The following is a 10,404-nucleotide window of genomic DNA, read 5'->3' as shown; positions in this document are numbered from 1 at the left end:
TTGAAGTTCGTCAGGAACCAGACCCTGAGATTGGTGGATCCATGCCGTACGCCACTGTGCAGCCCGCGGATTGGCAGGAAAAGCCACTCCCCATCCCTCCTGTTCGGGAGCTGTGGCAGACGCTCTGGTTGTTAAGGCGACTCGTCCCGCCTTCTGGGGCACTAGTTTGACTTTGTGATTGGCTACTAGTATCAAGGAATCCCGGCGTGGACAGCGCGAGGAGAAAGATGGCGGCGATGGCGGTCGGGGGTGCTGGTGGGAGCCGCGTGTCCAGCGGGAGGGACCTGAATTGCGTCCCCGAAATAGCTGACACACTAGGGGCTGTGGCCAAGCAGGGGTGAGGGCCGGACCTCCACGAGCGGAATGCGGGGTCCGAACTCGGGGACGGAGAAGGGCAGACTAGTCATCCCGGAGAAGCAGGGGTGAGGGGGTCGGCTAGGATGAGGAGGGGAGAGACTATTACTCTTTGGAGGGGAGGAGCCTCGGACCCAGTAACGTGAGGAAAATAACTTGTGGGAGGCCTGTGGTCACTGAGTCCCAAAGTTGGGAGAGTTGTTGGGTAAACTCTAAAGGGCCCTGGAGGTCGCGATTATTGTCTGGGAGTGGGAGGAGGTGTTAGGGGGCAAGGGAGAGAAGAGGCTAATTTTGACGGGGGAGGCATGGGCAGAACTGGGGCAAATCTGGATGTGATGGTCTTGGAAACATACTGACACCTGAGGAGAAAAAAATTCTACTTGTGGATATCCATCATTTTCTCCTTACTCATATGTCCCATGGCTGTGTTTTAGGGAGAAATTGAGGCACAGTACAGCAGAGTTGATATCCCCCAAGGTGGTCTGAACTCAGCAGCCTAGTAGGCTGAACTGATGGCAGCTGAAAGGGCTGTGCAAAATCAAGATAGCCTAAATCCAGTTGCTTGGCTCTCTGGCACTGCTGCTGTCTTTACATGATTCTGGGTCTGTCGCGGTTGTAGGTTTGATTTCCTCTGCATGCCTGTCTTCCATCCGCGTTTCAAGAGGGAGTTCATTCAGGAACCTGCTAAGAATCGGCCCGGTCCCCAGACACGATCAGACCTACTGCTGTCAGGAAGGGGTAGGGACCATCCCATATGCCCCTTAATTATTAGAGGCAATAACAACTTCTGCTTTATCGGGGCCCTCATTCTCCTCCTTTTCTGACTTGGATATATTTGTTAGTCCCTGGGATATAGATAACTTGTTTTCTCCTTGCTTCTCTATTCTGCATCAGGCTATCCCATGTCTATGTAGAAAAAACCTTTGTCTCTCATTTCTACTCTTGATTCCCAAAACTAAAAATTGAACAAGTAAAGTGCTGAACCTTATTCAGTATTTGTCTTTCTTGGGTGGGGGAGTGCAGACTGGAATACGCTAATTGTGGGAAAGCTTTCTCCATGGATTCGTCCAGACTCAAAAGTGGAGAAGATTCGCAGGAACTCCGAGGCGGTAAGACTGTTTGACTTCTCTGCTGGATTTTTCTAACCAAGCTGGGTGGGGAGAGTGGTCCCCTCCCATCCCCAATAACTTGGTAAATTAACTGATAGAATGAAATTAAAGCTATTAGGCTGGGTGCTGTGGTGCACACCTATAATCCTAGCACTTTGGGAGGCTGAGGCTGTAGGATCACTGGAGCTCGGGATTTCGAGACCAGCCTGGGCAGCGTAGTGAAACCCCATCTCTATAAAATATACAAAAATTAGCCAGGCATGGTGGTGCATGCCTGTGGTCCCAGCTACTCAGGAGGCTGAGGAGGGAGGATCAGTTGAGCTTGGGAAGGTCAAGGCTGCAGTGAGTGGAGACTGTGCCACTGCACTCCAGCCTGGGTGACAGAGTGAGACTTTGTCTCAAAAAAAAAAAAAAAAAAGCTGTTTGCTTGTTAGCTCAAACTTTTCCTCTTCATCTCCGTTCCAGGCCATGTTACAGGAGCTGAATTTTGGTGCATATTTGGGTCTTCCAGCTTTCCTGCTGCCCCTTAATCAGGAAGATAACACCAACCTGGCCAGAGTTTTGACCAACCACATCCACACTGGCCATCACTCTTCCATGGTATAGCTGAGGGGCTCCTTTCCTGCTGCATATCATAGTAGTCAGATTGTGCTAAGTACCTTCTTGTGCCTAGCCATTCAGTGAAGGGTGTGTTTGGCAGAATTGAAGTATCAGTATTGGCGGGCACAGTGGGTGATGCCTGTAATCCCAGCACTTTGGGAGGCTGAGGTGGGCAGATCACTGAGCTCAGGAGTTCGAGACCAGCTTGGGCAGCGTGGTGAAATCCTGTCTGTATAAAAAACCAAAACCAAAACAAAAACAAAAAAACACAAATTAGCTAGGTGGGGTGTCACACGCCTGTAGTCCCAGCTACTTGGGAAGCTGAGGTGGGAGGATGACTTGAACCTGTGAGGCGGAGGTTGCAGTTAGCTGAGATTGCACCACTGCACTCCAGCCTGGGTGACAGAGCCAGACCTTGTCTCAAAAAAAAAAAAAAAAAAAGGTCAGTATTGCGCACCTCTCCATCTAAAAGTGGTATGAAGAGAGTTTCAAAACATGTAAATGTAATTATTTTGGAAACTTACGTAAGACAAGGCAGATATTTACATAAGGATCTATATATAAGGTACATGTTCACTTACAAAATTACAAATTGGGAAAAGCATATAAAGGGATTAACGAGGTCTGGATGAAGTTTTTTTTATTGAGGGAAACTTTCTGGACCCAATGAGTTCAAAAGAGAGTTCTAAAAGGGTGACTGTTCATGTGCAGTTCTGGATGCGGGTACCCTTGGTGGCACCAGAGGACCTGAGAGATGATATAATTGAGAATGCACCAACTACACACACAGAGGAGTACAGTGGGGAGGAGAAAACGTGGATGTGGTATGTCTCCCTTTGCTGCTGTACCAGGGTGCAAGGGATAGGGTGAGGGGAAGTACAGGGTGCAACCTGTAGGGAGGTCTCCTTGAGCTGTGGTGATTGGTCGGCCATATCTAGTTTACTGTACTTTTCTGTATTTGACTGAACAGGTGGCACAACTTCCGGACTTTGTGTGACTATAGTAAGAGGATTGCAGTGGGTGAGTCCATGAGAATCCTGGGATGGGTGTGGCTTCTCTTACCTCCTGTGAATAAGAATCAGGAATTTCATATATAGTATACAATTTTGCTACTTCCCCTCTGTCTCAGACTGGCTTTCTCTTAAAGAAGTAAACAGATTTTGCGCAAAGGAGCAAGGAAGGGTTTCTTGCCTGGCAGTGGTTGACAGTTTTTCTTTTGCCTCATGTAGCTCTTGAAATTGGGGCTGACCTCCCATCTAATCATGTCATTGATCGCTGGCTTGGGGAGCCCATCAAAGCAGCCATTCTCCCCACTAGCATTTTCCTGACCAATAAGAAGGGATTTCCTGTTCTTTCTAAGATGCACCAGAGGCTCATCTTCCGGCTCCTCAAGGTGAGTGGTAGGAGGGTTCTAAAGGTAGTCCAGCTATACATCTTGCCTTATTTACCTGTGTATGATCGTTTTTTCCTGTGAGGCTGACTCTTTTTCTTTGGTTTCTGGGGAGCAATTTCAGTGAAGTTGGGAATCTTGAGAACAAAAAGGTAAATGCCAGTAGTAGCCCTAGAAACCTTTCAAAACAAACCAAACCTCATGAGAACTTTGCAGAAGGTTTCATTTAGGAAGTTACAGCAAGGATCCATGAGGCTGTTTGGGTGTTGATACTTTCATGGCATAAGAGGGCTTTTTCTTTTTTCTTTTTTTTTTTGAGACAGGGTCTCACTCTGTTACCCAGACTGGAGTGCAGCCATACCATCTCAGCTCACCAGAACCTCTGCCTCCCAGGCTTAAGCGATTCTTCTGCTTTAGCCTCCTGAGTAGCTGGGATTATAGGAATGCACCACTACTGCCCGGCTAATTTTTGTATTTTCAGTAGAGACAGGTTTTATCATGTTGGCCAGGCTGGTCTTGAACGCCTGACCTCAAATGATCCACCCGCCTCGGCCTTCCAAAGTATTGGGATTACAGGCGTGGGCCACCACGCCCGGCCAAGGGGGCTTTTTATAAGTTTACTGAAGCCTCATGCTGCCTTTGTTGGTATTGGGACAGACGCTAGAGAACTGTTGGTCTGGGCCAGGTGCAGTGGCTCGCGCCTGTAATCCCAGGACTTTGGGAGGCTGAGGCGGATGGATCATCTGAGGTCAGGAGTTTGAGACCAGCCTGTCCAACATGGTGAAACCCCGTCTCTACTAAAAATACAAAAATTAGCCAAGCATGGTGGCACGCACCTGTAGTCCCAGCTACTTGGGAGGCTGAGGCAGGAGAATTGCTTGAACCTGGGAGGTGGAGGTTGCAAGTGAGCCAAGATCACGCCATTGCACTCCAGCCTGGGCAATAGAGCGAGACTCCATCTTTTTTTTTAAAAAAAAAAAAAAAGAGAACTGTTGATCTGGGCCTTATTTTACACTAGGGCTCTTTGGCCATATACCATAATATTCCAGAATCTTGGTTTGAGGGCTGTGTCTGATGGTCTGACTTTTCTCACAGTTGGAGGTGCAGTTCATCATCACAGGCACCAACCACCACTCAGAGAAGGAGTTCTGCTCCTACCTCCAATACCTGGAATACTTAAGCCAGAACCGTCCTCCACCTAATGCCTATGAACTCTTTGCCAAGGGCTATGAAGACTATCTGCAGTCCCCGCTTCAGGTGGGTCTGGAGTGCACTTAGAGGAGGAAGGTGGGATGGAAAATGTTTCTTGAGAATATATGCCTCCAAATCTTACTAAAACTCAGAAAGCAGTGGAAAGTTTTTGATATTTTAGTGCATTGTCCTTTGCCAGAAACTGGCTAACTTTGTCCTTTTCCTCATTCATCAGCCACTGATGGACAATCTGGAATCTCAGACATATGAAGTGTTTGAAAAGGACCCCATCAAATACTCTCAGTACCAGCAGGTACTGTGTGGTGCCCAGGGTGAGGAAAGCACAGGGCCAGCATGACCTGGGGAGGATGGGATTACAACCATGGGATATTCTCTCCTCCCTCCAGGCCATCTATAAATGTCTGCTAGACCGAGTACCAGAAGAGGAGAAGGATACCAATGTCCAGTGAGTGCTTTCCCCTCAATCTCAGGGACTTGCATACCTATATCTGTATATGCCAAGTCTGCTTGACTCTTCCCTTTCTTTCTTAGGGTACTGATGGTGCTGGGAGCAGGACGGGGACCCCTGGTGAACGCTTCCCTGCGGGCAGCCAAGCAGGCCGACCGGCGGATAAAGCTGTATGCTGTGGAGAAAAACCCAAATGCCGTGGTGACGTGAGTAGCAACCTGCTTGCTGGGAAGTTAGTCCTCATTGCCAAATTTCCTTAACATCTCTCCTTACCTTATTGTCTCTGTTTCAGGCTAGAGAACTGGCAGTTTGAAGAATGGGGAAGCCAAGTGACCGTAGTCTCATCAGACATGAGGGAATGGGTGGCTCCAGAGAAAGCAGACATCATTGTCAGTGAGCTTCTGGGCTCATTTGCTGACAATGAATTGTCGCCTGAGTGCCTGGATGGAGCCCAGCACTTCCTAAAAGGTGCCCCCAGGTTGGGGTGTAGGTGGAGGGTGATGATGGGTGAGACAGCAACCTGGGAGGAGGGTACAGGGTTTAGGGGAAAGTGGGTTGGACCTGGGTCACATCATATGAGTTTGAGAGCCACTGCTTCACTGCCTCTGTGCCCCTAGCAAATGAAGTCATCTCTCCAAACCTTAGTGTTCATATTTGTAAAATGAAGGGAGTGGGCTGGGCGCGGTGGCTCATGCCTGTAATTGCAGCACTTTGGGAGGCCAAGGCGGGAGGTCAGGAGTTTGAGACCAGCCTGGGCAACATGGCGAAACCCCATCACTACTAAAAATACAAAAATTAGCCAGGCGTGGCGGTGCACGCCTGTAATCCCAGCTACTCGGGAGGCTGAGGCGCGAGAATCACTTGAACCTGGGAGGAGAAGGTTGCAGTGAGCTGAGATTGTGCCACTGCACTCCAGCCTGGGCAACAGAGCGAGACTCCATCTCAAATAAATAAATAAATAAATAAATAAATAAATAAATATGACATATGTACCCTGAGCTTAGCTTTCATCAGGAACTTTTGTGGGACTTTGTGACCCCACAAAAGTTAAGAACCACCAGATTAGACTATCTTGGGTTCTTTCAGTTTTAATCTGTGTGACTCTGTAAATTAACCTAGTAGTGGAATCCTCCATGACAGTAGTTGGAAGCAGGCTGGCTTAGTAATGTGACAACATGCATTTGTCTCTTTCTTCCATGCCCATGCCAACGTTGGTTGGTTTTGACATGGGAGGTTTGATCCTTCTGATCCTTCAGTTAGTACAGACATACCATTTCCCTCCCTCTGGAACTAATTTGACTCTCCTGCTGTGCAGATGATGGTGTGAGCATCCCCGGGGAGTACACTTCCTTTCTGGCTCCCATCTCTTCCTCCAAGCTGTACAATGAGGTCCGAGCCTGTAGGGAGAAGGACCGTGACCCTGAGGTAAAGAACCACTCTCTCTGGAAAGAAGTGGTACTCTTTAGTCCTCTTCTTTTTCTGTATTTGCATCAGCTATTTTCTTCTGCTGGGGATGAAGAGGTGAAGGAGAAGTTAGGGATTGGGGAAGCACTAAAGTAAAACTTTTTTTAATCCTTGGGGAAGTAGTTCTCTCTTGTGTGTCTTCCCCAACACTCTCTCTCTCTTTCTGTCTCTGACAGGCCCAGTTTGAGATGCCTTATGTGGTACGGCTGCACAACTTCCACCAGCTCTCTGCACCCCAGCCCTGTTTCACCTTCAGCCATCCCAACAGAGGTAGGTTCTTTTATGGCTGTCCTCTGACTAGAGGGGTACGGGCTTCTTCCTTCCTCCTGCTTTCTTCCCTTACTGTCCCTAGTCTGCCTTATCTACTCTTCCTTTCCTGGGTCTTGCTCATGCTTTATCAAGTTGTCTAGAGCTTCTGGCCCCTTGTCACCCACATAATTATTTCCTGACAGATCCTATGATTGACAACAACCGCTATTGCACCTTGGAATTTCCTGTGGAGGTGAACACAGTACTACATGGCTTTGCCGGCTACTTTGAGACTGTGCTTTATCAGGACATCACTCTGAGTGAGTGTCTATGGCAGTAGATGGCAGAGTATGAGGGTGTGCTTCCTGGGCAGCTTATATGTACATGTGTCATTTAGATTTATGGGGGGCCCAGTGCTCAATGAATGGAGATCTTTGTGTGATTAGAGAAGAGACCCTCTTCAGCATAGGCAAAAGTCACAGCCATGGAGACCTCTGTTTTTTCATTATTTTGTCCACACAGGTATCCGTCCAGAGACTCACTCTCCTGGGATGTTCTCATGGTTTCCCATCCTCTTCCCTATTAAGGTAGGAACTGCTTTTAAGACTCTCTAGTTAAGCAGTAACCTTTGCCTTTGGTGTTGTGCTTCTTTCCTTCTCCCAGGAAGATAGTTGACTATGACTCATGTTCTCCTGATTTCATATGCTCTTGGATCCCAGTGGTAGGTGTTGGGAGTATTTGGAGTGGCCTTCTGCCTGGCTTTCCCGCATCTACTCTGGCTACTCTTCTGTCTGTTCTCTACTTTGAGCAAGAGTCATCTTTTAAAAACTCAAATTTGATCTTATCTCTCTTGCTGTCTTTTTTTTTTTTTTTTTTTTAAAGAGACGGAGTCTCACTCTGTCGCCCAGGCTGGAGTGCAGTGGCACAATTTCGGCTCACTGCAAGCTCCGCCTCCCGGGTTCATGCCATTCTCCTGCCTCAGCCTCCCTGAGGCTGAGATTACAGGTGCCAGCCACCACACCCGGCTAATTCTTGTATTTTTAGTAGAGACGGGGTTTTACCGTGTTAGCCAGGATGGTCTCGATCTCCTGACCTCATGATCCGCCCACCTCAGCCTCCCAAAGTGCTGGGATTACAGGCGTGAGCCACCGCGCCTGGCCTGATCTTATCTCTCTTTTTTGCTTAAAACTCTTCAATGCCTTCCCATTGTCTTTAGGATAAAAGTCAAAATCTGGGACATTGCTTGTAAGACTTGATGTGATCGAGTGTTTGCTTGCCTTTGCAGCTACTGTCCCCTTGCTTACACTGCTTCAGCCTTATGGACCTTCTTTTTGTTCTAATTGTCTATCTTCTTTCCTACCTCAGGCTTTCATGCCTTTCTCTTGCCTGTAGAGTTCTTTGCTTGTCTCTTCACACAGTTAACCTATCTTCTAGGTCTTCTTTAAACATTTTTATTGTGAGATAAACTTTCTCTGATCTCCTAGACTAGGTTAGTGTTCCCTTTCATAGGTGTTTTTCTGACTCTGTACATGTTCACAGCTCTCACCACACCTTTGATTATTTGTGTTCTGATAGGCTTCAAATAACTTTCATGAGGGTTGGGACAGTCTTGTCATGTTTATCATTTTATCTCCACACCTACCTTAATACATTGCCATGTATAATTCATAGCTTCACCCTGAACCTTCCTGTCTTTCTTCTTACAGCAGCCCATAACGGTACGTGAAGGCCAAACCATCTGTGTGCGTTTCTGGCGATGCAGCAATTCCAAGAAGGTGTGGTATGAGTGGGCTGTGACAGCACCAGTCTGTTCTGCTATTCATAACCCCACAGGCCGCTCATATACCATTGGCCTCTAGCCCTGCGTGCCAAGTGTCCAGAGCCTTGGAAGCAGCTTCAGGTTCTGCTCCTGTAGTACAGAAGGTGCAGTACATCTATGGGCTGTGATTCCCCTTGCCCATCAGAGAGGAGCATTTCAATCTGCTTTCCTGCCTTACATCAAGGTGGGCAAGGGATTATAATTAATTGCAGGGCTCAAGCCACCAATCTATGAAGACCTCAGGCCAGGGGGTGAGGAATTAGTGCTGGATTTGAAGCTACGCACTCAGCCTCAAGAACTCCCTGGAATATCCCTGAGAACATGGGGTTTGAACGGATTTTCAGCCTTTTTCTGTTCTTGTTTTGATGGTTTTGTGTAAGAGGAAATACAAATAAAGTTATAGCCCTTTACTGCACGACCATGCTGCCCCCTGCCACTATTTTCCCACACCTCACTTAGACCCAGGCATGTTCAGATCTGTCCTCTTAGCCTATCCAAGACCCAAAGGGGCCTAGTTGTATTCCCTACTTAGGAAGCTGAGCAATGACTATTGTAGTCCTGGATATAGGCCTTTCTGACCAGCTACAGTGAGCTCTTGTCCATTAGAACCTACAGTTAGGCTTTTCTCTGGGGAGGAGGCATAGAGTTTGCCACCTTGGAAAAAGATGGAATAGTGAGTGAAGCCAGTTTCTCTTCTGTATTCTTGAGCTACTGCACGGGCAACTGGTTACCTCTCCTTTGTTACCTCTTGGGAAGACTGGAATCCATCCAGGAATCTCCAGCAAGAAGCTACCTGTTTTTTTTGAATAAAACCACAGGGTTACAGTTTGAAGTCCTAAGAGATCATCTAGTCCAATTTTCCATTTTACAGAGGGGGAGTTTGAAATGGGTACAATGATGTGATATTAGTATCCAAGTCAGAATTGGAAGTCAGGTCCTCCGACTCTGGCTCTCCCCATGTTATAACCAGCTACATTTTTGGTAGCTACAGTAGACCACAGAAGTGTCTAGGGGCTCCTGGAGGCCCCTGGAAAGTGAGGGTGGACATCAGTTCCTTCTTTCCGGTTAGAGGACTCAGTACTGCTACATCCAAGGAGTCACCTGAGAAACTTTCAAATTTACCCTTGCAGTGGGAAATGTGGGGGTACTGATTTGAACGGAAGTTATGACCTGTGGGAGCAGGCCATGACGATAGGGCAGAGTGTGGGCCAAGACAAGTCTGTGGCAAGATCTGCTTTTCCCTGGTCCCAAGCACCGAGGTCAGGAGAGGTGGTCGGGAAGGTTGTTTAGGTAGCCGGCTCAGAACGGGGATTTCGAGTTCAGCATCCCCGGACGTTAAACAAACGCCGCTGTTCTCTACAAAGCTTAACCTTAACGACCGACGTGACTCCTTCAGCAAATCCGAGTAGGGACGGCCAAGGATGTAAATTGTGCCTCCTCGTTGGCTCCGCCCATCGCACTGGTCTAGTCTACGCGAGCACCAGGAGTGGGGTTGGTGGCTTCTTCACTCCCGTTTTCAGTCCCGTTTTCCCCGCCCTCCGCAAGTCATTTAACCAATGAGAGAGTGATGGGCGGCTACCAAAGGACGCTTCCATTTTCTGGAGTCTCTGAGGTTAGCCAATCAATGGGAACTCGGTGGTTGCTAAGACGCATTTGAGTTTGCTCCACCCATACTTAGGACTTTAGCCAATGAGAACCTGTACTTTGGACGGTTGCCGCGAAACCAGTGAGGTTATTTCCAAAGCCGGGGAGTCTTGGC

The 10,404-nt window shown here is 48.0% G+C and overlaps 1 protein-coding gene and 2 long non-coding RNA genes across 12 annotated transcripts, besides 3 other annotated features; 1 reads left to right on the top strand and 2 right to left on the bottom strand.

Moving 5' to 3' along the window:
- On the top strand, window positions 213-9,060 carry PRMT5 (protein arginine methyltransferase 5). 9 transcript variants are annotated; one of them, XR_429287.3, is made up of 18 exons: window positions 213-337; window positions 974-1,092; window positions 1,378-1,463; window positions 1,929-2,063; window positions 2,775-2,887; window positions 3,034-3,083; window positions 3,293-3,456; window positions 4,549-4,710; window positions 4,880-4,957; window positions 5,052-5,110; window positions 5,197-5,319; window positions 5,406-5,581; window positions 6,429-6,538; window positions 6,754-6,847; window positions 7,030-7,146; window positions 7,349-7,413; window positions 8,533-8,749; window positions 8,858-9,060. XR_429287.3 is itself a non-coding variant. In NM_006109.5 (17 exons), the coding sequence occupies exons 1-17, from the start codon at window positions 228-230 to the stop codon at window positions 8,683-8,685; spliced, it is 1,914 nt and encodes a 637-aa protein (NP_006100.2). In that variant the 5' UTR covers window positions 213-227; the 3' UTR covers window positions 8,686-9,060. The 9 variants fall into 9 exon arrangements, 7 of the variants coding, with proteins under 7 accessions (NP_006100.2, NP_001034708.1, XP_047286837.1 ...); XR_001750113.3 differs by having other exon boundaries at window positions 213-422; NM_006109.5 differs by having other exon boundaries at window positions 8,533-9,060.
- Window positions 260-369: an enhancer, noted in NCBI's record as "active region_8154". NCBI's record gives its function as "activates an Ori minimal core promoter by ATAC-STARR-seq in GM12878 lymphoblastoid cells {active_cell/tissue: GM12878}" and the evidence as "EXISTENCE:reporter gene assay evidence [ECO:0000049][PMID:35858748]".
- Window positions 2,428-3,627: an enhancer, noted in NCBI's record as "MED14-independent group 3 enhancer chr14:23395171-23396370 (GRCh37/hg19 assembly coordinates)". NCBI's record gives its function as "activates an origin of replication core promoter dependent on BRD2, BRD4, P300/CBP and CDK7 cofactors, and independent of MED14, by STARR-seq in HCT116 cells {active_cell/tissue: HCT116}" and the evidence as "EXISTENCE:reporter gene assay evidence [ECO:0000049][PMID:35650434]".
- Window positions 2,687-5,288, bottom strand: LOC124903285 (uncharacterized). The gene is made up of 2 exons (XR_007064073.1): window positions 5,148-5,288; window positions 2,687-3,128 (listed from the first exon to the last, which is right to left on the bottom strand). It is a non-coding gene; the product is annotated as an uncharacterized LOC124903285 (long non-coding RNA).
- PRMT5-AS1 (PRMT5 antisense RNA 1) lies at window positions 6,182-10,133 on the bottom strand. 2 transcript variants are annotated; one of them, NR_120599.1, is made up of 2 exons: window positions 8,469-10,133; window positions 6,182-6,620 (listed from the first exon to the last, which is right to left on the bottom strand). It is a non-coding gene; the product is annotated as a PRMT5 antisense RNA 1 (long non-coding RNA). The 2 variants fall into 2 exon arrangements; NR_120600.1 differs by having other exon boundaries at window positions 6,182-6,510.
- Window positions 10,066-10,365: a silencer, noted in NCBI's record as "silent region_5595". NCBI's record gives its function as "represses an Ori minimal core promoter by ATAC-STARR-seq in GM12878 lymphoblastoid cells {active_cell/tissue: GM12878}" and the evidence as "EXISTENCE:reporter gene assay evidence [ECO:0000049][PMID:35858748]".

The sequence above is a fragment of the Homo sapiens genome, chromosome 14, assembly GCF_000001405.40.
Source record: "Homo sapiens chromosome 14, GRCh38.p14 Primary Assembly".
NCBI lineage: Eukaryota > Metazoa > Chordata > Mammalia > Primates > Hominidae > Homo > Homo sapiens.
Note: the sequence above shows the minus strand (reverse complement) of the source record. Positions and strands in the feature narration are given on the sequence as shown.